Raw genomic sequence first — 27,829 nt, forward strand, 5'->3', positions numbered from 1 at the left:
CTATCCCTCCCCCCTCCCCCCACCCCACAACAGTCCCCAGAGTGTGATGTTCCCCTTCCTGTGTCCATGTGTTCTCATTGTTCAATTCCCACCTATGAGTGAGAACATGCGGTGTTTGGTTTTTTGTCCTTGCAATAGTTTACTGAGAAGGATGATTTCCAATTTCATCCATGTCCCTACAAAGGACATGAACTCATCATTTTTTATGGCTGCATAGTATTCCATGGTGTATATGTGCCACATTTTCTTAATCCAGTCTATCATTGTTGGACATTTGGGTTGGTTCCAAGTCTTTGCTATTGTGAATAGTGCCACAATAAACATACGTGTGCATATGTCTTTATAGCAGCATGATTTATAGTCCTTTGGGTATATACCTTCAATAATGGGATGGCTGGGTCACATGGTATTTCTAGTTCTAGATCCCTGAGGAATCGCCACACTGACTTCCACAATGGTTGAACTAGTTTACAGTCCCACCAACAGTGTAAAAGTGTTCCTATTTCTCCACATCCTCTCCAGCACCTGTTGTTTCCTGACTTTTTAATGATTGCCATTCTAACTGGTGTGAGATGGTATCTCATTGTGGTTTTGATTTGCATTTCTCTGATGGCCAGTGATGGTGAGCATTTTTTCATGTGTTTTTTGGCTGCATAAATATCTTCTTTTGAGAAGTGTCTGTTCATATCCTTTGCCTACTTTTTGATGGGGTTGTTTGTTTTTTTCTTGTAAATTTGTTTGAGTTCATTGTAGATTCTGGATATTAGCCCTTTGTCAGATAAGTAGGTTGCAAAAATTTTCTCCCATTTTGTAGGTTGCCTGTTCACTCTGATGGTAGTTTCTTTTGCTGTGCAGAAGCTCTTTAGTTTAATTAGATCCCATTTGTCAATTTTGGCTTTTGTTGCCATTGCTTTTGGTGTTTTAGACATGAAGTCCTTGCCCATGCCTATGTCCTGAATGGTAATGCTTAGGTTTTCTTCTAGGGTTTTTATGGTTTTAGGTCTAACATTTAAGTCTTTAATCCATCTTGAATTAATTTTTGTATAAGGTGTAAGGAAGGGATCCAGTTTCAGCTTTCTACATATGGCTAGCCAGTTTTCCCAGCACCATTTATTAAATAGGGAATCCTTTCCCCATTGCTTGTTTTTCTCAGGTTTGTCAAAGACCAGATAGTTGTAGATATGCGGCGTTATTTCTGAGGACTCTGTTCTGTTCCATTGATCTATATCTCTGTTTTGGTACCAGTAACATGCTGCTTTGGTTACTGTAGCCTTGTAGTAAAGTTTGAAGTCAGGTAGTGTGATGCCTCCAGCTTTGTTCTTTTGGCTTAGGATTGACTTGGCGATGCGGGCTCTTTTTTGGTTCCATATGAACTTTAAAGTATTTAAATACTTTAAAATATTTCTTCCAATTCTGTGAAGAAAATCATTGGTAGCTTGATGGGGATGGCATTGAATCTATAAATTACCTTGGGTAGTATGGCCATTTTCACGATGTTGATTCTTCCTACCCATGAGCATGGAATGTTCTTCCATTTGTTTGTATCCTCTTTTATTTCCTTGAGCAGTGGTTTGTAGTTCTCCTTGAAGAGGTCCTTCACATCCCTTGTAAGTTGGATTCCTAGGTATTTTATTCTCTTTGAAGCAACTGTGAATGGGAGTTCACTCATGATTTGGCTCTCTGTTTGTCTGTTATTGGTGTATAAGAATGCTTGTGATTTTTGTACATTGATTTTGTATCCTGAGACTTTGCTGAAGTTGCTTATCAGCTTAAGGAGATTTTGGGCTGAGACAATGGGGTTTTCTGGATATACAATAAGGACTTTTTTTTTTAAATGAAGGAGAAACTTGTAGAATAAAATAGGCTTAAAGGACATATCAAGTATAAAAAATGGTAATGACTGAACAATGATGTCTAGCGATGCACCTTTGGATGATAAAAATGGAAAGAAGTGTGAGTAATTGTTTTACTTTTGTGGTTACTTTGGGGAGAAGGGGACAATGTGGTTAGGATGAGGAACATGGAGGGGCTACTGAGTTGATGTCTAAATTTTAGTTTTTGATTTGAGTGGTGGTTTATAAGGGTGTTTGCTTTATAATATTTTATTAAGTTACATTTGTGTGTAAATTTGTTTTCTATCTCTGTTTTATTTTACATTGAAATGGTTACTTAAAAAATGATGGCATTCTATGTGAATGCAACTCCAAAATATTATCAGATTGAGATCTTTAGAAATTAATTCGACGTAGCAGCAAATCTCAAACTAAAAGTTAAGTAGCAACCTCTAGGGCCAAAAGAAGAGATTTTGATGGAACAGGACACATGATTGGGTTCCCTAGAAGAAGACTCTGAGATAGAGACTGCAGGAGGTTTATTGGAGAGTGCTCTTTGGGTCTCCACCTGACAAAAGGAAAGAAAGGAAGCAAAACTGAGAAGAATAAGTTGGGCTGTAGTGTAGTATCAGGGAAGTCCTCAGGTGTCTTCATGGGAATTTTAGAATTTGCGATAGCCATTCAATGTTATACTACAGTAGACAAAGGGATCAGGGTTTTGTGTTTCTCCTTAATGGAGGACAAGCTGCTTTAGGGAGGACTGCATAGATTGGACACAGCCAAAACAATCCTGAAGTGGGCTGAAAGACGAGAGATGTCTGCTCACAACAGTCACAGAAGCTGAGGCATCTGAGTGGTAGAGCACTGCATCAACTACAGTGATTATTTCCTGCCTCTATCAGTATTTTTTTTCTGGCTTCTATATTTATCTGTCCCTAAACTATGCTACTAATTTTGCAAATACAAGGTTGTAAATCTCAGCATCCTTGCGATTTGGTGAAATCTTGTTTCCATTTTACAGATAAGGAAAAAAAAAAGCTCAGAAAGGTGAATAGTTATAGTAACACTGCATTGTAGTCTAACTTTGGGCCAGGCATACTACCTGCATTATTTCATTTCATTATTTCAATAGACTTATGAGTTAAGCACAGGTGGTTCCTTCATTTTACAGGTGAGGTAAATGAAAGCCATAGACGTTAAAAAATTATCCTGGTCAGTGGTGGAACCAGGATTCTAATGAAGTCTGTATGAACCCAACATTTTACTCTCAACCAATATGTTATACACCTCTGCAGAAATGGTCTAGACTCACAGAAGAAATAAAAGGCCAATTCAGGAATTTAACTCTGATTTCCTATCTCCAGATTTTCAGTCCCTCTCCTATAACTTGTCCAGTGTCCCATACCTTGAGAGAGGGCTTTATTTTAGAAGTTAATTAATGGTTGATGGTGATTTAATATATTACCACTCTTAACCAGCAAATAGGGATCTTCGATAACTTAAATAACTTCATTTAAAGAAATCACAAAGATAAACATTGTTTTCCAACTGATGGGCTACTAGAGAAAAATGTTTTGGGAGTATGGAGGCCTTTTGAATTCCTGAGATGCCACCAAGCATTCTGTGCCAATTCTTCTTATGCAGAGGTCAACTTCACAGGCCATAGAATAATTAAGGGAGTGCAGGGCATAATCAATAAGAAAAACTAAAAAAAAGATCAAAAGTCTTCAGTCTGGATGAAATGAAAATCAAAAGTGAATTATTCTAAAGTAAGTAAGAAGCAAGATTGTGTGGGAAAATGAGAGCAGACGTATCCCTTATGTCTCAGGGCATAAGAAATAAAGGGGAAATTTTTTAAGATTCAAGAGGTTAATTGGGACAAATAGAATGAAAGCATTACTCTAAACTCAAAGTAGCTAACCACCAAAACTTATTACATCTAAAAAAGCAGTATAGGCTGTCATAAATTGATTCAAGGTAATTTAAATAAATTTTTGGGTAAGAAATTTAGAATATGAGAATTGAGAGATAAGGCCTGAGTGTGAACTTGTGGACAATAACCCTATCCTTCCTTATGCTGTCCATTGGTATATCTGTCTCAGATGCAGTTCTGGACTATATGGACCATGGTCGCGATTCTTGCTATACATGGACTTCCTTTATCTTCCCTCAAAATACAAAACTTCTTGTGCTTAGGGCAGTTACCTCTGCTTGGCATGCCCTTTTCTTCACTTCTGTGTAGCTGGCTCCTCATTCTTCACATCTCAGTGTATTAACAACCTATTGCTCCCACCCAAGCCCTATCACTCTTTAACTACTTGCCTTCTTTTGTTCTCTTCAGAGCACAATCTTTGATTATCTTGTATCCTTTTTACTTGTTTGTGATCTGTTTCCTCAAGTAAAATGTAAGTTTTAGGAGGACAGGGCACTTAGGAGTTATGTTCACAATCATAGTGTGTCATCTAATCTAGTGATTAACATAGACATATATTTATTGAGCATATGAATGAGTGAATAAATAAATAGATGCTTCAAGAATCTCATTTTGAGTAAAGCAAAAATACTTCTTCCTAAAATAAAGGCAATCATTCAGAATTTAGTTCTTATTTTTGTGTTTGTTATAGTCTTGAGACTCATGCTTTTTTGTACTTTTTGCGATAACTAAGAAATCATTTCACGTATTACTGCACATGCACACACAAATAAAATGACAGAAATCATACTTTTGGTTTAGATGAAAAGTATTGGTGAGGTTAAGCAAATATGCATGCATTAGTTATGCATATTTGGCCCTAAGTGCTTTATGCAACAGTTTTTCTAGAACACTTATTTAAATCAACCACAAATTGACAACATCCAAGGCTCATCTGGCTGCTCAAGAACCTACACAGCTAGTGTATTACTGCAGAACATGTTGTAGTTCTTGGCAGTCTCTTCAAAGTACAATACCTGGAATGCCTAGGAAATCTGCTTCCCATAAGAATTCTTCCTGAATTGGAATAGACACCCAATTACTGTGGTTGCCAAAATGCATGCATCATCTGGTGGCAAAAGAGAGCGTTGTCAAGAGATAGTCCTTCAGTTTACAGCAAGTAACTAACTAAAAAACTAAGTAAAAAAGTAAACTAGGTAGAGTAAAATAAAAATGTTTCAACTTCTTTGCTGCCCCTTTCAGAGAATCACTTGAAGCTTTCATAAAAAGGCAGAAGGAAAGCAAGGTCTTGGGAGAGTGATAATATAAACCCAGTAAGCATCAGTATTTCAGTAAGTGTCCACAGTTAAAGGTTTTTTTTAATTACATGCCAGTTCATTCCTCTTTCAATCAAAATGTAAGGGTGGGCAAATACTTTAATTACTTTGTTCCTCAAATATGTTATATTCTACAGAGCATGAAGGAAAAAGTAATCAAGATGATATGTAGTAAATACATGTACAGAGATCTAAGTAAATGTGACTTGTGGTTTCGAGAGATTTCAATTGTTCAAAGTGAATTCTTATTTGCTCTTCTCCTTAGGATGGAGCAGCTGTGATTATTTATAAAGAGCAACATTGCAGTTTCTCCAGGTTGCTGCTCACGATAGACAACTCACAGAGCTTTTCAACTCACCAACAGTCATCTCAGGGCTGGTGTTGATGTGGACATGAATACTGAGAAAGAAATAGGCTTCAGAGAGATCTGCCTTCATAACTTTTTCAGTAACAAGCAGCTATACATGCTCCTGTGGGTTCCTTTGTTCTGTAGACTCTGCAGTCCCACGATGCAATTGGAGGGACCCTTAGCTCTTTAATGAAGTACACCCAGTGTGCAGTAGTGAGCACAAGATATTTTAGGCCCTGCTGTGTGGGTGTTAGCAACTAATTATGTGAAAATGGATCATTAAGAGTTAGCTGCGAAAAAATGCAAATCATTAGCAAGCTCCTTTGGTAAAGAAATGGTAGTACCCATCTGCTGAAGTTCAACCACTCAAGGAAGACGTTAGACAAAGTCTAATGGTAGGAATGGGACACAGGAATGGCAGGGAAATAGGATATAGAAAAGAGGTTTGACTTTTATAAAACTTATGTGTTTTATTTCTGCTTGTGCATTTTGCATCACTGAAGGGGTTAAGGGGTAAAGTAATTTATTTTTTTTTTTTGAGACGGAGTTTCACTCTTGTTGCCCAGGCTGGAGAGCAATGGCGCAATCTTGGCTCACTGCAACCTCCGCCTCGCAGGTTCAAGCGATTCTCCTGCCTCAGCCTCCCAAGTAGCTGGGACTACAGGCGCCCGCCACAACGCCCGGCTAATTTTTTGTATTTTTAGTAGAGACAGGGTTTCACCATGTTGGCCGGGCTGGTCTCGAACTCCTGACCTCAGTTGATCCACCTGCCTTAGCCTCCCAAAGTGCTGGGATTACAGGCTTGAGCCACCACGCCCAGCCAGTTAAGTAATTTTTATTTCAAATATTTTATGTACTTGGAACCAAATGCTAAAGTTCATGAAAAACTAAGATAAAATTATTTATAAATTTCAGAGACAATACATTGTTAACAGATCATCTTTTAGTCAAAGTGATGAAAAATGCAGGCAACTGTACTCTAAATTTAAAAGTTACAAGACATTTGCCAACATTGGACAATATACATGAGAGTAAGTGATGAATTTCTGCCCTGTTGTTACTCAATTTTGCTGCCCCTTTCAGAGAATCACTTGAAGCTTTCATAAAAAGGCAGAAGGAAAGCAAGGTCTTGGGAGAGTGATAATATAAACCCAGTAAGCATCAATATTTCAGTAAGTGTCCACAGTTAAAGATTTTTTTTAATTACATGCCAGTTCATTCCTCTTTCAATCAAAATGTAAGGGTGGGCAAATACTTTAATTACTTTGTTCCTCAAATATGTTATATTCTATAGAGCATGAAGGAAAAAGTAATCAAGATGATATGTAGTAAATACATGTGCCACTGATAAGACTGGTTGGAATGTTTTGTTCTGTGTAGTGAGAACTCTAAACCTAAGGACTTTGCTCTGGTGTGATGCAGAGCTTGAGTCTGAGCTTATTTCAGAATGTTACCAAGATGTCAAATGCTACTAGAGGCAACACTCTGACACTGGAGACATAACTTTTAAAAAGCACTCTCAAATGACTCCTTGGTGCATGTAAATCCAATGATACAACAAAAAGGGAACAGCATCAACTGCCTCAGTCCCCTAGGAGCATCAACCTCAATCCTTTTGAAAAAGTTTTATGCATCAAATACAAAACTAAATTTAGGAAGTTGGTGAAATAATTTTGTAGCTATCCCCATGTTGGACAAAACTCTAGGCCCAAAGACAGGTTTTGTCTCTGAATATTCATAGATTTTTCACTCAATGTGGAATCAGTCTGGGGTGAGAATAAAGAGCTCATTACATGTGAAGTGATACATGTTACACCAGTATAACAAATATGTGATAAACAGTCTTGTCCACTCATCTACATGGTATCTTCAGCAGCCGTGTCTGTACTGCCATCATTGGTGTTTTAATGATAAACTTAATTTTCCTCTTTTCCTTTGTTCTTTTCTCTATATTCCCAACACACACGTACACGCACGTGCACACACACACACACACACACACACACAAGAGAGAATATGTTTTTCCTAAGGATCAAGGCAGCTTTACTAACTTTCCCTTATTTTTTCTTAGATGTCGTAGGACAATTATTCTTTCCAGAAAACCTATCCTCAGAACGGTTTAGACTTTATCTCTCTGCTGTGCAGAACATAAATTAAAAGAATGAGAGTTGGTGCTAGGAGAGTTGCTGCACCTTCCAGAGAAGGAGAAGGCCTACTAAGTGATCATCAAGAGGCAGATGCTCTTTTTGTTTTATTACCATATAGAAGGAGCTGAATTTTTCACTTTGGTCCACAAATGCACAGCCTATTATCTAGACCATAGGGAGGAGAATTGGAGATTCTGCCTTACTGTAATGATGAGGAGCTTGAAGTTGGTGGTAATAATGTTGATGATGAGATTATTATCTTGATGACAATGAAGACATCAAAGACAAAAAGTGTCCAAGCCACTAAATGTTCAGTATTCTTATTAAACCACAGAGGCTGTTGGCAAAAGTGCAATTGGTCTAATTAATGACCGAATCGCTTCGTCTGCCTCTTATACAGATCTGCTTCTATTGTTTTTTTAAATTGGCTTCTTCCTTGGACTTCAGATTTAAGATCGTGGCTCTTACTTTCCCTTTCCTGAATCTCTGCTACCTGTCCCAGATGCTGCCTCTGGTAGTGTGCCCTAAATTCACACCCATCCCATGACCTGGGATGCTACTAGATTCTTCCTCTATCCATTTGTGCTCATCAGACTGAGAATGCTAATATTGCTTGTATTAATGTCAGTCTCTGCTTGGGAAAGTGTTTTCAAGATCCAATAATGTCAACCTCACGCATATGGTCAAAGGTTCACCTTGTATAATGTTGTTGATAAAGAACAACATTGCTTTTTCCTCCTGTAGTTGCATGCATGCCATTTCAGTGGCATTTCAGTTCACAGGACAGTTTCCTGGGAATTGTTATGTCTACATCTTTGGAGCCCAGAGCTCTACAATCAATCGCCATTGTGGAAAGATATATTGTAACTGTCGGAGCCAGTCTGCTAACTGTGTTGTGACTTTTCTGTTACCCCATCTATAAACCACAGGGTTTATACATGTCACCTCAGGAAGGTATTATGAGAGTTAATGAGCCAGAAGTTGTAAGGGGGATTTAGCCTGCCGGATAAAAGGTGCTGCTTAAGTATAGAGCATTCCCGTTTTATGTGACCTGATTCTTCAGGGCCAAAGCAACATATCAGGAAGTCACAGTGCTGCTATTAAAGGGCAGAGGGCACTATCAGTACATTCTCAATGTAAGGTGTAAACTCAGTCTCCAAAAGGAGCAGTTTGGGATTTTATAACTTACTGTTCAGTAGTGGCTCCTTTGCTGCAGCTGCCGCATCCCCTGCATGATAAAATTAGTCTCATTTTGCCCATTTTGTCCTTGGTTCCCTTGAAACAACATGTATTCCCTCAAAATCCTCTCTGGATGAAATGACTATGGTACAGAAATATAAGACGTACAAATACATCAGCTAAAATGGATGATAAGAGGACAAACCTGCAGGGCAAGTAGTGCCTCTGGCAGGTTTTTGCTGTTCCTTTTGAGATACAAAAGCAAGAAGACATCTGCAGCTAAGATGCATTAAAGGGTTTCTGTTATCACAACAGTGAGAGAAGGTACAGCAAGCCAAATGGGGCAAATGTGATATGCCACCTCCAAGTAGCATTGTAAGGTTTGTAGCACAGAAGAGACAAACACTCAGAATATGAGACCTTTCTAAAGACCTCACTTGGCTTACACTATTTAACACTGTGACAGTTCTGCAGGGCCTATTCTATTTGACTTGGGGTTCACTATCTGCTTAGTTGATCCCCTTATTGACCACATTACCTCTCATCTGCTCTGAGTTCAACCTTTTCTGTCCTCTACTGGCCACTATCAATAATGCCTCTCAAAAGGCTCCTGTTGAGGCACATAGAGCTTCACTGATGGGACATTTATTTATTAACATATTAAATTATTATATTTTCAATATATTCTTGCCCACCACCATTAAAGAAAAGTGTGCATTCATAATGGTATTAGCTGTGAGGGGCTTAGAATGCACTTAGTTTTGTTTGCAATTTCTACAGACACTTCTCACTTCCATAATAAAGCCTGTTTTGCTAACCAGGGGAAAAGACCATAAATATTCACAAATTTGGAAAAAAATATATTTTTTCTGAATAATGAAAGAAAAACCAGCATTAAGAAAATAAGGAAGTCACAGAACTGTGTTTCATGTTTGTTTGTTTTTTCCCCTCTGTGCAGGGTTCTTGCATTCTTTCCTTTACTTAGTCCTACCATCCTTGTAAGAGTAAGTAAAGCAGAAATAAAAGACTCCCTCTTGGTTTTCCCCCACTCTGAGATACCTTAAGGCTTACAGGATGATACTTTCTCCATTATAGCCAGTCGCTGTAAATCAGCTGTGTGAATAAGAACACCTGACTCCTTCTAGACCTGCATGTTTACTAAGTTTTACAAGCTGAAAAGCATTGGCTCTTGGGGTATTAGGGAGTGTTTTAACATTAAAACAGTTCTGCCTGATGCTGTGAATACAGCTACAAAAACACAAAAATCAGTTTTCTCCCTCCTTTGCCATGGAGCTGCAATTTTCCCCAGGAGCCTTTGACACTTTCTACTTTATGCACCAATTCCTCTGATAGTGTATAATCTCTTTCATATTCTTTTTTGAAATGTTTCTAATGTTCAACATTCATTTATGTTTCAGTGGGAAGACAACATAGTTATGCATGTTTTTCGGGATTAAGAGTATTTTACTCTCAATGATACATAGTTAAACCACTTTTGTTATTGCCTACATTCTGTCTCTGCTGCAGAGGCTGGGGAGATATCCATAGTGTTACCTCTCAATGCTTTAGGTTTCTATCCTGCTTTGAGGAAAGATTTCAGTCAGCTGTGATGTATATGGAATAGCAGAGTGGAACTTGTCTCTTTTTCAGAGCATGGGGCTTAGGGAACCTGATAAATGACTGAATTTTCAATGAGTCAAATATCAAGAAAGAAGCTGTTTCTTTCATTTTCCTTTGCACTAGTTAATTTGCAAAGGTGCTGATTTTTCTCTTCAGATTTATAAAGCCGAGGGACATATTTATGAAAAGGCACAAAAGAATCAGAAGACAGAAAACTAGCTAACTAAAAAGGAAGAGATGCATATATATCCTAACAGGTAAATTCTAGAGGGTGTTTAGGTTTGGTTTTGTTTTGCTTCTGTGGCTATTAAAGTTTGGATCTATAAAGGTGCCCTGTGCTTTTAACGTGCAGATCAAAGTCTTGATGGAGTTGTACCTTTGCTGCTTGGTGCTGTACATAAAACATCAGCAAAGCACTGTTATATTGTGCATGTAATTTCTTTGCTGCATTTAACTCAATTTGAGCATCAAGCCATTGGCTTGTATGTTTTTTATTTAAAATGTAAACAGAAAGAAGTGATCTTCCTGGAAAATAATGTACATGAAAGAAATGAGAGGTTACATACCATGTGTCTGAATACTACTCAAGCATCCACTGTAGTTCATAAAATGAAATCAGGGACCAATTTTCACCCGGAATTCTTGTCATTGAACAAAGAGAAAAAGCAGCTCTGGGTTGATTCATATTTTGGAATGTAAAGCTCTACAAGGATCTCAGATAGAGCTGTAAAATGTCCTTCCTAATCTGGAAGGAAGCATCTGTTGAAAAAGTAGTCATGGTACAGTACAAGAGGTTTCATGTTTTCTTTTCTTGATGTTTGGAAGCACAAATAAGAACTATTCATTATTTTTTAAACGAATTTATTTATATGACATTACCATGAATGTATGGACATGTTCTAGTGCCCACTAACTGTGTCCAAGAAAGAAGATATAAAATCAAACCCTTAACTCCATAACAACAGTGGTCAAATTTGGGACCTGCAGGGTGTGTTTCTTATTCAGTCTACATTCAGCTTTGCTTTCTCCCCTCTCTCCTGTGTTCCCCTTCACCCTCTCTCACTTTCTTCTTTCTTTCCCTTTCTTACTGTTGCATGTACATACTTATTCAACTCACTATCTTCTCAATGACCTTGAAACTAGTTCATTAACTGGAGTTCACAGATACAGGTAAGCAAAACAACATTAAGGGAATGAACAGAATACACAAAATAGATTGCTCATAGTCATTGTTCTAACAAAATTTTCAATTTTCTTCTGTTTTCTATTCATATTACCAAGTCTCTGTTATTATAACTCCTGAGGTACACCAACTATATGTCTGTTTGTGAGGGTAGATGATGAGAACTGATTTAGGGGACAAAGCCTATTATAAGTCTATCGGCATTCAGTTAAATGTTGCCAATAAGATAATTCATGGAAATCTGTTAGCACAATTCCTAGCACATGATAAGCATGCAGTAAATGGTAGTAGTTGTTTTTGTTACTGCTGCTGTTTTTTAGGTTTTCATTTTATTCTCCAAAATATAACATTTTTATTAGAGGCTCTTGGAGAAAAAAAGTAAAGGCTATTTATAGACTTACTAGTCTGTTACGTACAGTTGCTCTCCTCATCCATTGGACAGGCCCCTTTACAGTTCTTCATTAGTGAAATTACTGAAGACTTGTATGCACAGCCTGCTTTTCTCTTCCCCATTCACACATTTGCTCTATTGCCGTTCTATTTTCTCATCATAGGCTTCATCGTGTCAGAGGTGAGATGGCAAGTCTAGACAATATACAAGGAAATTTTCTTAAGTCCTCAGACTTAAAACATTGCTTTATTTCTTATCAAACTCTCATTTAAATAAGTAGAAACCTTTCCCAAACGTCTTGATGTTTATTTTAAATTAAATATTAAATTTAACAATTAGTAATCTTGATGCTAAAAACATTAAACACTGGTAGGTTTTTGTTTGTTTCGTTTTTTCATGAAAAATCTTCTTAGTAACTAGAACACCTAGGAAAATATGATCCACAGGGTTCATTCAACTGAACCAGAAAGTTAGGATCTCTAAGAAAATTAAGGTTACTCTGAGGTTCAAATAAATTCACACTAAGAAGTCCATATATCATTTTATGCTGCTCTGTGTCAAATTACTTTTGAATATGTGGTAGAAATCCATAAGGGCTTCTACAAAATAATATCCTGTGCATATGTATCCAGCATTTTTTGGCTGAAAGCTAACCTTGCATTTAGCTCAAGTATTTCTGTAATAAACAAAAGGTCTTAAGATTATAAAAATGTTGTACTTATGCTAACTAATCAGAGGAGACTTCAAGAGGAACATTTTGGCTACATTTCCACTGGTGTCTAACTATGAGTATTGGTGTTCTTTCCCTGAGTACTTACCTCAGAAAACATACACTTAATTTTTGCAATATTGATTTTTGTGTTGGGGTTTGTTTTACACACCATGAAAAGGAAAGCATTGGGCAAAATATTAAAAATAATCAGTGGGTTTGATTTGTCTTAAGTAGAAGGCTTTACAGTAGTTATCCCTGTACTCAACAAATCTGCTTATTAAATATGGTCTGTTATAAATTAACTTCTACAAAACTCAAGGCTTTCTAGGTTTTCACTAGCCCTTTGTCCCTTTGAGAATAAAACTGGGCAACAGAACCAGAAAGTGTGGCTTCTAATGGATGGAATAAAGGGATTTTTTAAGTAGAATTTAACTGGGATCAGCATTCTCTTGACTCTTGCTATTGAATTTCTTTTAATTGCCTTCTTCTTTCTTTTCTCATATGAGGAGCTGATGTAAGGTGAGCCTATGAGAGAAAATGTCTTCTTTACTTCCCACCCCAGCGTTAGACTAAGCAAGAACCAAGGAAGGCCCAAGGAAAAAGTAGAGTAGGAGGCTACTGTCTTTTTTTTTCTTTTTTCCATTGGTTTCAACCAATATTTATTGTGTACCAACTATGTGCCAAAAACTTATCTAGGCACTGAGATATAGCAGTGAACAAGATCACCAGGGCCTTCGCTTTTCTGAAGCTTAAAGAATACTTAGGAAGATGGGCAAGCCAAATGCTTCTACTCTAGTCCTGAAGCTAGAGAGAAAAATAAAAAATAAAAAAAAAAAGGATGTCAATGCTCACATTTAGTCTTAAGCTAGTTGGAGTTCAAAAAATTTTCAACTGGTATTAAGTATTTATTTGCCTATATTTATTTCTTAGTACTTTATTGTTGTAAGGGGAAAACTAGCTATCTCCAGTAACTCTAGGACAGTGGTCAAAAATTTGGGCAGTTTGGATCTTGGCTCTTTTTCTGAAGAATATTGTGACTATGAGTGATGGCTCTGCACCTGCTGAGATTAAAAAGAGTAAATGGGCACCTCCTTTCCTTCTCATGAGGATGTACAGAAGAGCAGTGGTTGAACAGAGGCATCTCATTTTTATGCTTCTAGGGGCTTCTGCTTGTCCTACCTCTGGCCCACATGGTGCTCCCAATCAAGGTAATATGAAAAACAAATGTTTAAAAAATTGTTTAACACTTTAGGACAACTTTTTTTTATTACAAGAGAGAATGGGATTTTATAGACGTATTTTGTTTAGTTTCATTCTTTCTGTTGCTTCTTTTAATTTTTTCTATAAAAAGCAGATTTTAGGAACTAAACAAGGGTCAGATGTATCTTTAATTTTTTTAGAGCATCATTCTCATGTTTTATTGCCCTCTTTTTCATTTCTTTAAATTCTACCTTCTTGCTTGTATTGTTTTGTTATTTTATGTTTCTTTGCACTTAGATATCAGAGGCACCTAAGTAAAGATTGTTTTTTCTAGAACTTGTTCATATGAAATAGTTGTAATATTAGCACAGGCCCTTTATTCTTTTTGGTCACAAATATGAGGACTTCAGTGATACTCTCCTTACTCCTGCATCAACTATTTTTATATTTTAAGCAAGAAATCTTAGTTTTCAAAACACATAAGTTTCATTCCTTTAAGTTTCCTAATTTTGAACATATTACTTTTCTCATCAGGCTAAAAATGTGAAACTGTTTTATGGGGAATTAAAAATTTCTATAAAAATGTCATTATTTTCTGTGGCTCAATCATTAGATAATTTACTGCGTGACTTAATTTGGCTCTTTTTCCTATTTGGCTTGCTTTGAAAAACAGTAAGAATATGGTCCTTTTTCAATTGCTAATATAAATAATGCAATTTTGATTTAAATTTCATAAGGCCCACTTGTATGTTCACAGTCGCAGCAAACAAATAAAATAAACAGCCAGGAAGACGAGATAGTCTTCTACATATTCAAGTTTGAGACATGTTACTAGGTGCCCATAACCAGTAGTATCTCCACAAGTGCCTGAAATTTCCACTACATTTCATTCTTTCAATCAATGATATTTTTATTAAATTTGGCACTTACTCTGTGCCTTTAGTGATTATAAATTTTGGAGAAAATACAAAGAAAGCTCAGAGTCTAGTAAGGCAGAGAGAGAGAGGTAAACAAGTAATAACGATTCAACAGTGTAATTACTATGATATAGGAATAAGGAAGGGTTTTTCAGGTCATGGATGGGTGGTGGAAAAAAGGAGGTTGTGGGGCTTTTCACAGGAAAATATTTGGATAACTTTATTCATATACTTTGCTGACTTAAGTGACATACCTATAGTTCCTCACTCAACCTTACCCTGACCTCATTTAATTAGTGCTAAATATATTAAAAACTATTACCCAAATATTTTCTTCATATTAAAAGTTCTAAGTTACATGTTACCTAGAGAAACATGCAGTTAAGATTACCCCAAAGGTGGAAATCAACAATCTTACATTTAAAGAAGTCTTTAGAGTTTAAATATATCAATGGAGTACAGTGCTATTAAAGACTTCAGTTTTATGGCTTCCTCAACTCATGACCCCATTAATGTTCTACTCTCTCCTATTGTGAAGCTTGTATTAAGATCTGGCAGGGTTATGTGATGGAGGATGGGTGTGAGACGATATTTGCTTTTGAAACTCAATAGCCTTACTCATCTAAAGAATGCAGTTTTCATTTAATACCAGTAAAAGATACTTTGTGCTGTTTTTTCAGTTGTACATATCACATTTGAGATAAAACTGAGCTCTATACAGACAGAGACCATGTATTATACAGTACTTATTTTTACCCTTCACAGATTGTGTCACAGTCACTTATACATAGTAGACTTGCAAAAATACCTGTTGTTTTTGGATAGCAACCCAAGAAGTATGATATAGAAATAGATTGACTTAAAGATGTGGTCTAAGAGCACAATGAAAAAAAAAAAATAGCTGCCAAGTTTGTCCTTTGAAAATATGGAGGCAATATTTTGAATATTCCAAGATTCATATTTAGGTTCGTCACATACTAACAAGAAATCTTTACGCTCCATCCACTAGAGGGCAATCAATACATTAGGCACTGACACTTACCCCCACCCTGACCTGGAACCTAGTAACTTTAAGAGGATTAGGTAGACACAAAGAAGAGGGAAATATGCATGGAACTCTTCTCATCAAAAATAGCATTGTAGTCTCTTTTGGACTCCCTTCATTGATAGTGGGCCTGGAAAAAAAACTAGACTCTTCCTTTTGGTGTTACAACTAAGTTTCTTCCAGACACTTAAGAAAACTCACAAGTAAATAAGCCTACCACCTGAGGGAAATGAGATTTCCCTCTAAAGCAGCATTTGAGTTTGTCATACAGTTCATGTGTCTGCCGCTTCTGAGAGGAGGCAATGGTAATACATATACAGAAAAAATGCTGGGCAACCTATCTTGGCGATTAGACGTTTTCTCTTCAGATGACTTTCTATGATAACATCTCACTAGCTTTTGCTAAGATTGACATCATGAATACAAAAATAGTTTAGAGACATTAATTTTAATGCTTTCATGATTGATAAAATACTGAAAGAACTAGTAATCAGGAAAGTACACATGATCTTGTTGTTATTACAGGCAGTAATCACATCAAACATGGTTGACCCTGTGGACAGTTTTTCTGGAGACTTCAGTAAATTTGTGACTCTTCTACTGATTCATTGTAGGGGTAAAGTCCCAAATAGGTTGTGGGTCACTAATTCCTCTTCTGTAAATGGATACAATAATATTTTTCCATCTCACTCATAGGCTTTATGAAATTCACAAAAGTCACAAAATATTTTGAGGTTTGTAGGAATGCCAAGGAGGTATCTTTCTTCAGTGTTGGCTATGAAATCATATGTGCACATAAGATTTTTTTTTAATCATTGACTTATTATGAAATAGTAGATGTGTTCTTCCACAAATACTATGCACCGTGATATAGCAAATATCTCTTAGGAATTTAGCAAATCTTTTAAGTGTGTGTGTTTAAAGTATATTAAATATACTTAAAAATAAAAAGTAATCATAATTCTCAAAATATTTTGTAAGATTATGGTGGTAGAATCTATGGAAATTGCTTTGTGAGACAAGTTCTTTATGATTTTTTGACTTAGTGACAGTGTTCCTTCATCCTGAGCCTGTTTACACTTTCCTAGGTATCTTAGGACTCCTTTCTTGGGGAATGGCTGCTAGATTTAATGCAGAAACCTAGTTTCCTAGTTTCCACTGGTGCAATATGAATCTGTAAGCTCCAGCTTTTCTCTGGACTTAGCTTATCTAATATTTAGAATTATAGGTGTGTGCTAAAACATCTACTATGCACCCATTCCCCATTTACTCAATGTTTCTAATTTTAAATCTAAGGTAAGCCTTCTAATTTTATTTCTAAGGTAAATGAATATATTATTTTTTGACACTTCCACTATTGCTTCTACACAGTGACTGCTTTCTAAATAGATTTAAGCTCCCAGCTTAACATAAAGTTTACAAAGAGGGAGGAATAGGTGTTTGTGTAATACCAAAATAATCACTGGCTTTACGATCAGACCCACGAATTTACTCAGCACTATGCTTTACTAACTGAGTGAACTTGGGAAAGTGCCTAGCCTTTCTGAGCATCTTGTCCCTCATTTTAAAATGAGGATTATAACACCATTGCATATATATGTATGTTTGGTATATCACAGGGTTTAAAAACATACAACAGATAATAAATGGTGAATTCTTTCCCTTTGCTAAACCCACATGTGCAACTATCTCAACAAAGGTTTTGTTTGCCTGTCAGTCCTTTTCTATCCCCACATTCACTGTCCCATAAAACCTTAGGCAAAATTTAAAATTGCCTCATATCTTTTTTCTTCTTCTTCAAAACAAACAAACAAACAACAAAAACATGTTATTGGCTGTCAACAAAAAATAAATGACTGCAAGACAGAAAATCCACTCCTCTTCATTTTTTTGTACTTATTTTGCTTAATTGTACAGACTTTATTAAATATCTGTAATGTACAAAAAAAACCACCATGCCAGGCTCAGGACAAAAAGAAACATTTTCCCCTGCCATTGCAGGAGGTCTTGATCTACTAAGGAAAGTTGACATCTGCATTGTGACTGGTTCAAGATATACTGGAGTTAAGCATTGTCATATGAGTGCAAATAAAGTGTTTTAAGAGTATGTATCTTCATCCATTTTTAATTTTCAGTGGTGTAAATCTGTGGAGAGCCAGAAATCAGGCTTTCTTTTCAATTAGAGACACAGAAATTACTATTAGGAGTTAGACAAACATAAGGTTGCTTCAGCACCTTTCTATAATTAGTGCTTTACATTTTAGTAAAATTACCTATAAAGCATAATATTCTTGTAGTGTGATACACTCTTCCATTAATTTTAAGACAATGTAGTCTCTCGACCATATTCCCCTGAGTGTCTGAAAACACACTGCCTTCTTCTCAGCAGATGCCTCTGTTGCAGTGAGTAGGCAATGTAGCATATTCCTATCTGTTCCCACAGTCACCATTAGCTGAAAGGGACAATTCTTAATGTGTAAAGCTAGCGATAGCCTTAGGGATGAGGGAGACAGTAATCAAATCTGAGCAGTAATCCAGGGAACAGCAGTAGGTGGCACTGAGGGTGTTTAGGCTGTCAGCTACTTATACTACACTGGCAGCTTCCAGAACTGGCCTGGATTTTAAGAGTTCCAGAGAGTGCAGCTTCTTTTTAGCATTCACAACTTTTTTCATGCTACACTGAAAAAAACGTAGCTAAATTTAGGTGCTTTTAGTATTTTTTCATACCTTTATGTATTACTAGTCCACTGCTTTGAGTTTAAACGGAAGGGAGAGTGCTTAGAAATTTTGTTTTATTTTGGTTTGGGTTTCTGCCTGCCCTCACCAGGAATTTACTTTTATAATAAAAATGTTTTGCATGTAACACTTCACATAAATTTGACGCTGTTGGACCATTATACAAGAAACTTAAACTTTTTTTTTTTAAACTTAAGAAATTGCTGAGAAAAACATGTATCTAAATAATATGCATAGATCTTCATCTATAAGTATGTATGCATTTCCACATGTATTTGAAAAAAAGTATTTTCAGGCCAAAGAGATTTCTCTCCCAATACTTGATGGTATGTTGATAGTATTTACAAGTCTTGGAGGAGGTCATATGGATTCTTACCAAACTTTTCCTGATGACTGGCTATATGGGCCTTAGTTTCCTATCTGATCATAGTAATTTTTGGCTTAGTTGCCTCATTGGGTTGTTGTAAAGATCAACCAGGAAATGTTTGTAAAAATGTTTGGAAAATGTATGTCTCTGAATAAAATGGTCAGACAGAAAAGGAACATCTACCTTGTGCCAGGCAATTATATTTTGCCACCCTGTATAACAGTCCTCTAAAGTAAGTGTTGTTATCTTCATTCACAGTGAGGAATTCATAGTGTAACTCGTGTTAGTTTATACAACTAGTAGATGAATGAGGTAGGTTTTGACCCAGATAGAGCTGATTCTAAAGCTAGCTAATACTCACTCCTAGCAACCAAAAAAAAATAACTGTTTTTGAAGAGAAAAATAAAAGCTACTTTCTTACTGACCATTACTAAACTTTGATCTCTCTTGTTTTTGGTGGCAGTATAGCAGGGAGTAGGTGATATTTGGTTTGGCTGTTATTCAAATGGGAGTTTAGCTTCAGAGGGTATTATGGTTATGTAATGCATACAAAATTAAGATCAAAATGTGCAGATTAAGATACGATAGAGACGTAACAATGGCACAATGCCTAGCATGCCTTCATTTATAGAGGGATGGTGAAGTAGAACTTCTCAGCATATCAACTTATCCACCACAAAAGCATTTTTCTCTTTAAAAACCATGCTTACACACACACACACGCATATACATGCAGACACACATGGATTTCAGATGTGTGCATGTGATTGCCCTGAAAAAAGTGACCAATGCAATAAAGAATAAAAATAGGCTTTTTAATGTAGCTCATCATTTTTTATATTAAGTGCAATAATTATAAACAAGGCTTTTTTGAACAAATAGTGTGTCACATCTACAGTATCATAGCGATACTAAAACACAGTGGCTGTGTGTTCTCAACATTAGCAAGCTACATTCAAAAATACCTTCTAAATATATGCATGTTGCCAATGAGTGGGATAGCAAGAAAGCCGAAGATGAAGAGTTTTAAAAAGCAACAGAAAAACTATCCTCAAACATTTATCATTTCTTTGTGCTAATTACTCTGATTTAATCATTGCACATTTTATACATGTGTAGAAATATCACATTGTACCCCATAAATATCTATCATTATTATGTGTCAATTAAAAATAATAGTAAAAGCCAAAAAAAAAATCCTGTCCTTATTTTCCTGAGATCCAAAAGCAAGGAGAAACCTGAAATTTTCATTTCATGTATAGCGTCTCAGTATACGAGGCTAAGAGTATTAATTTGCAGAGGGCCTCTAGATTCTTGTCAGAGATTTTGCCTCTTTGGGCTGATTTTTTTGTTCTCTTAAGTGGGGAATAAGCACGTACAAAGAACATCATTCTTAAGCATTTCACTTCATCAGAATTCATTAGAGCAGATTTGAAGGTTTCATTATTCTTTAAGAGTACATTAATAAAACCACCACATACTTATTTTTAATACTATGTATATAAATTATTCTGACAGTCAGTTGCAAAGCCAACATTTCAATCCTGAAATTAAAAATATACTAGGACAAATTATTATGTTCCAGCCACCACAGGCCAAGCTGAACAATATACTCTCTGCTTGGAACTCAGGACAGAACTATCCCACAGATCAAAAATAATAGTGACCACTAAAGTGGCAAGAAGCTAGAGCCTAATTGGCATCTGAATAAAAATTATGCATTTCTATATATCAAATGTTGTTTCTTTCTAGCCCTGTGGTTTACTATTCCTTTCACAAGTACCCTCCCAAAAGCAAACTTTCAGCTATGTAACTTGCTTTAGGAGTGTCCATTTGTGAAAATCCTGACACAGTGCTTACAGCTTAGACAATGCAGAATTGTCAATGGCAATCTTTTTGCCTTTTGTTTCCCTCCGTGTGTGTGTGACAAACCAGATTAAAAATATTTAGAATCAAAGACTGTTGCTAACTTCTTGCTCCATGAAGTAACATTCCAAACTAGGTTGCATCAGTTCTCAAGGCCTAATCTAGCTTTCCCCTGTGGCTCCTGGTGCCTGAGGGAGAGACACTGTATCTGTTCCATTTATGAGTAGAAAGATAAATGGTTTTGCCCTTAATAAATGTAGAGAACTAGATGAAGAGCTCAGGACAACCTGCTTTTTACTCCCTTAAGCAGCAAGACCTTTTTAATTCTCCTCATTCCTCCACTAATTTTGCACGAACTGTGCTGTTAGCCACATAAGATGATGAATGTTTAAAATAGTCTAGGAAGGCTGAGCTAATGAGAGGGTTGTCATTAAAACTGTGCACTACAGCTAAGAGGCAGTATCCAAACTTCTGAGGACATTTACATATTATAGTTTTTTTCCCCATGCTATTGATGCGGCATTACATATTTAGTCCTTTTAAGTGCTGGAGCTTACTTAGTCAATGGAGAAACAATTTCTTACCCAGTGTTAATATGTTTTTGACTGTACTAGCTAGAGTTTTACCTGCATTCACTGTACTATAGGGCTCTGAGTGTCCCTGTACAGCAGCTGTGTGTCAAGCCTGTCTCTACAGTGTCACACTATGAACTGTGACTATTAACAAAATATCTACTTTGTCACCTTTTGAAAGTTGTTACACTTTATGAGGTAGAAAGTACTAGATGGAGGGGTCAGGGATGAGGCTAAAATGCTTTATAATTGTTAGGGAAAATCATGTGACTGTCAGGGAGGCAGTTTCTAATCCTCTGCTTTAATCAGCTAGGACAGAAGAAAACATAATATTAATAGATTAAAATGAGTTGATCAGCAGTAATTATAATCATCAATTATGTTGGTTTATATATATATACATATTTTCGAATGTATAAAGGTACACATCATTTCACACCCTTTGGGCACAATTAAAGAAGTTAATTAAAGTGTTGTGTTGTAGAAGAGTTTTTTTTCTCTACTTCAATAAATCCTTTCTGTTTCAAGTCATACTAGTATCATAGCTCAACATTAAGTCTAAATGTTTACTCTTATGGTTTCTGTCTTCTTTTTAAAGTTAGTTACCTAGTGAGAAAATAAATGTAGATCTGAAAACTTGTTTACTCTCTTTTCTATTTAATACAATTACCTCCCACAAAGCTATTAGAGTATCATAGAAACAAAGAATGGAAGCCAATATTTAAAATTATTCTGATTTTATACATTATGCCACATCAGCATTAAGATGATTGATGGACAGCTATATATAGTCATATAGTGGAAAAAATTCAGAGCCATCTTAAATAGCCAACCAATCACACTGCTTATTTTGTGGTCTGAATTGGTGAGAGGAAAAGGATAAAGAGAGAGAAAGGGAGAGAGGGAGGAAGAAGTAAAAACCAAAAGTTTTTTCATCATATAGAACTAATTTGAGAAGACTTTCAGATTATCACATTAAAGCTAATTGAGGTACTTAGATTAATAATTCTAAGATTGCTATATAAGTCCTTTGATGCCTTAAGTCCTTAAATCTATGCATTTCCAAACTTTTCTTCTTCTTTCTTCCTCTTCCTCTCTCTCTCCCACTCCCTTTCTCTTTTAGGAACCACTATAAGGTTTCTCTAGATGAAACACAGGTTTTGTTTTTGTTTTCCAAAAAGGATACATGGAGTAAGAGAGGAAGAAGCAAAATATGACCTGTTCGGTCATACTAGTGAATTATTATTTTAATTGATCATGCAGCAATCTATATCATTCCTGTGATGAGCTATTGCAGCTGATAAAACTGCTAAAATAATTATATCAATCTGCTATTTGCAATTGTGTTCAACTATGGATATGTTGATATTTAGGTGATGAAGATGCAGCCTGAGTCAACAAAAACAAGAAATGAAATGAATAGTTAAATATCAGTCATTCAAGAAAGGCAAGCAAGTTAATTTGGACTTGCGACCAAGGGCCTTCTTTATGTACCTTACATAAATATTGATCAAATCAATAATATTCATACAATAACACCACATTTTTTCCTACGACCCAGTCTCAGTGAAGATCCAATTTTCGTATCCTACTTCTCTGATTTTCTGTTTAGACTGACCATTCATTTCAATGGTCAAATTAGCTGGATCCATTAAAAACAAAAACATATTTTGCCCTACTAGCCATAGTCTCAGTGAAGATCGAATTATCTTTGTCCAGCTCTCTGTCTTTTCATTTTGCAAGTTTCTTTCAAGTCATGAGTAGCTGGATATGTGGTAAATTGTGTTGTGAGTATCTAATACTGTTGTTAGCAACATATGTAGTTTTTTGTTGTTGTTGTTGTTGTTGTTGTTGTTGTTTTTTTGAGACGTAGTCTTTCTCTGCTTCCCAGGCTAGAGTGCAGTGGCGCGATCTCGGCTCACTGCAAGCTCCACCTCCCAGGTTCACGCCATTCTCCTGCCTCAGCCTCCCGAGTAGCTGGGACTACAGGTGCCCGCCACCATGCCTGGCTAATTTTGTGTGTGTGTGTGTGTGTGTGTGTGTGTGTGTGCGTGCGTGTGTGTGTGTGTGTGTGTTTAGTAGAGATGGGGTTTCACCGTGTTAGCCAGGATGGTCTCCATCTCCTGACCTCGTGATCCACCCGCCTCGGCCTCCCAAAGTGTAGATATTTTTGATAGTAGTCAATCAAACCATTAGAAGAATCAAAGGGGACATTGCCTCAGCTTTATATGAGACACCAGATGACATCAGTTTAGACATTAAAAGTTTTGTAAATGATAATTTGTCACAAATATTCCACTGGCAGTATTCCTATGAAGATCTTTTTAATTTTTTTAAAAAAATCTATTCAGTTTCTAAAAAGGAATATGGATAATTCAATGCAGTCACATATTTATTGTCTTCATGACAAAGCAAGATTATCAACAAAATGAAAACAATATAATCTTTTATTTTGAAACTGTATAGCCATTCTGGGATTTGCTTATGTCACCTGTTTTGGCTGATGCCAATCTGATATCAAACTAATATATCAGTTCTTTCAATACCACTCATCTCAGAGGAATAATGTTTTGTAATAGTTGATAGACTGAATTGACTATTTCCTGTCAATATTTAATCAATTTAGTAGCACCATTTCTATACATATAGAAATATATTCTAAAAGTTATTCTTAAGCTATGGCCGTGTATTAGTCAGGGTTCTCTAGAGGGACAGAACTAATAGGATAGATATACATATAAAGGGGAGTTTATTAAGGACTATTGACACACACGATCACAAAGTGAAGTCCCACAATAGGCCGTCTGCAAGCTGAGGAGCGAGGAAGCCAGTATGAGTCCAAAAACCTCAAAAGTAGAGGAGCTGACAGTGCAGCCTTCAGTCTGTGCTTGAAGGTCCAAGAGTCCAAAAGCTGAAGAACTTGAAGTCTGATGTTTGACGGCAGGAAGCACTCAGCATGGGAGAAAGATGTAGGCTAGGAGACTAAGCCAGTCTAATCCTTCCACATTCCTCTGCCTGCTTTTATCCTAGCAGCACTGGCAGCTGATTGGATAGTGCCCACCCAGATTGAGGGTGGGTGTGCCTCTCCCAATCCACTGACTCAAATGTGTCTCCTTCGGCAACATCCTCACAGACACAAGCAGGCACAATACTTTGCATCCTTTAATCCAATCAAGTTGACACTTAATATTAACCATCACAGGCTATAAGGAAAGAAATGAAACAAAATTAATCTTTTTAGTAGTATTGGCCACTGTAGCATTAAATAAGATGAGATCCAGACTCATGAATATGATTGGATTGTTGTTTAACCAGAAAATGGCCATATAGTTAAAGATGAGGCTCAATAGTATGCTAGCGCAAGAAAATAATAAACACAAAGAAATGAAAACTTATATAGAGGAAGATAATGGCCAACTTTCTAAATTATAACATATATAACATATATGCTGATATACAATTTTTATTATGCTCAATTTAGTGCTTTCTTATAAAATTCCACAAATTAATATTCAAGGTATAAAAAATGTTAATCTAAAGGATACTACTGTGTGTGACTTCAAGGCTTTGTATTTCTTTAAAAAGAAAAACATCTAACATTGATTGATTTGTATCATCTTCTTGGAGAGCAATGAAATAATCACATAACTTTAGAACATGAGCTTATTGTATAATGGCATTATAAGCCAGGTCCAAAATGGAGGTCACAGCTTAGAGAGTAAGCTATTGTGTAAAGATCACAATAACAGTGACTCAAGTACAGTTATATATTTCCCCGACAGCCCCATTCCGTGTGTTCTGAGGTGACTGTTTTACTGGACCAAGTTACTGTGAAGGCCTGTATATTTTATATCTCTAATGTATGTTTAAAAATAGCCAGGGATCCTGCTGCTGCTGATATTGATAATAATGATGATGGTGGTGTTGGTGCTGGTGATGTCAGTAAATGTTCAATTCAAAGTCAAATAAACAGAAATGTGTTTTTTAAATCAATTTTACTGTGTTTGATGAGATATGTACCAGAAGTTAATGTATTTGGAATTAAGTAAAACTAGATCTCAGACAGCAGTATAGATTGATTTTCTTTTTGCAGTAAACAGAAACTGTTACCAACAAGCATGTAGACAGCAAAGCCTATACCCCAATATCTAAACCAAGTTGCTTCCACTGTATGTTCTGATTCATTCTCAGAATTGATTTATTGTACCTAAAAATGATATAGCTAACGAGATAAAGGAAACTTATTCTAGAGCCAATCATTTTCTAAAATATACCTCCTGTTCTTGATCTTTGAGTCTATGTTTTCATTGATGGCTAGCACGTAACCAAGGACAGCAAGATATAACCCTATTAGTGCCTACTTAGAAACTCAAATATATAGCATTTCCAGTGGCAATTTTTTAAGCCTGAGCTATTGCCTCATATTTTTTCCAGATAATGCTCCCCACTCACTCACCCACTAACATCTGTAGTCATGTGCACATAAAAATAAAAATTTAGAGCAAATACAAGTGTATTAATAAGTGATTCTTTTTAGCTTTTAATTGTTAGTGAGTTTTCAAGTGGATATGACATGTTACCTTTTACTTATATAGCCATGATAGTTAAATATTATTCACTTAAACAACAACAAAATTAAAGGGAATTGCTTGAAAAAAATCTTAGCGTTATATACTAATACTTATTTTGGCTTTCTTCCCATTCTCTGGCAAATTAAAATTCTTATTTGCAGAGTTATTATTCAGAAAATCTCAACTAACTTTTTCCAACTGCCAATTCATTAAGATAAAATGCAGGTAAAAAATGTTCTAATGTTCTTTTTAAATGGATAAGTGAATCCTAGTGAGCCCGATTTTTCTAAGGTATCCCTGGGAAAGAGAAGGCTAAGGCCACAGGTAGAAAAGATATAAATCTAGCCAGAGGGGAGAGTTTGAGAGTGAACATAAACTGGAAGGCACTTACATCCTTTATGTTTACTTCCAATTTCTTTGGATCTAATCAAGAAAACCAAGCATATTCAGTCCTTACACTTTTGACTTCATGCTTCTGTCTGCAGACTCAGAAATTAATGCCATTATATATCTGTTACAACATTCCATATTTGTCTCTACTATCAAAATTACTAAGGGCCTTCCCCAACAAAACAATATTTTATTGTTTACCAGAAAAACTTTTTTATGATGGCATGACTTGACTGCTAAAAATGTCATGTGACTTATAATTGTGGACCACTTAGACAAAAAGGTACCAGATGTACCTTTCTACCTGAAATAATCAAAATAACTGGATGACAAAAATAAAGCAATGATTTTCAAGATACTGAAAATCAGGTAACAAAGGACAGTAATTCCTAATGTATAGAAAATACAGAAGGTCTGCTCTATGACTTCCCTTGATGAATTTCCAGGCTGCAGTGCAGGAAAGGCTTCAGTGCTAGATGGAGCCCTATGGGCCCCTGAATTGAGAAGACTGAGCTAAGAGTCCATAAAAGTCAAAGTAGATAGAAGTCACAGGACAGAGTATGAGAGAGGAGTGAGCTGCACAAGGAACTTCTAAAATTTGTGGAGGGCCTCCCTCAAGTATTCAGCAGAGCACTGTCCAGTGCTTGTACAGTGAAGAAACTCCAAATCCTCTCAAAAGGATAAGAAGGTAATGGTGCCTATACACACTCAAGGCCAGAAAAAGGGTCTATTCCCACGGACCAGACAGGAAAACCTCATGATTCACAAGGAATTAGGTAGAGTAAATAGTAGAATCTTGCTTCAATAGTGAAAAATAGTTAAGTAGACTGAGAACTGCTCTAGTCCACATAAGAAATCTTAAAAGTCAAACCAGATAGCATCAGACTGTTTCTAAGTAATTTTAACTGATCTCAGAACAAAACTCAAGACTATTTTTGGAATACTAAAATATATAATACCCAAACCTAGCTATGTAATTTACAGAATTCAGCAGAAAACAAAAAGTGGAGCCCCTAGTTAAAAGGAAGGGGAACATCACACACCGGGGCCTGTTGTGGGGTGAGGGAAGGGGGGAGGGATAGCATTAGAAGATATACCTAATGTTAAATGACGAGTTGATGGGTGCAGCACACCAACATGGCACATGTATACATATGTAATGTGAACGTTACATATGTAACCTGCACGTTGTGCACATGTACCTTAAAACTTAAAGTATAATTAAAAAAAAAAAGAGAAGGGAAAAGTGTCATTACTGGCAATAAAGTATAAAGCTTGTTTTTTCTTTCTTTCAATCTTCTATTATGGTGTGGTTTGTTTGCCATTTAATGTCTTTCTAAGTAAAGAAAAAATATAATTTTAAATTAGTAGCTGAGATTTTACCATTCATATTTATATTGTGCAATGACAGTTTTAAATATAAATATAAGAACATTTGACTCATAGGCAGAATCATCAAAGTTACCCAATTCTTCCTCAAGCCAGTCAAAGCAGACAAATGCA

The sequence above is a fragment of the Homo sapiens genome, chromosome X, assembly GCF_000001405.40.
Source record: "Homo sapiens chromosome X, GRCh38.p14 Primary Assembly".
Lineage (NCBI taxonomy): Eukaryota > Metazoa > Chordata > Mammalia > Primates > Hominidae > Homo > Homo sapiens.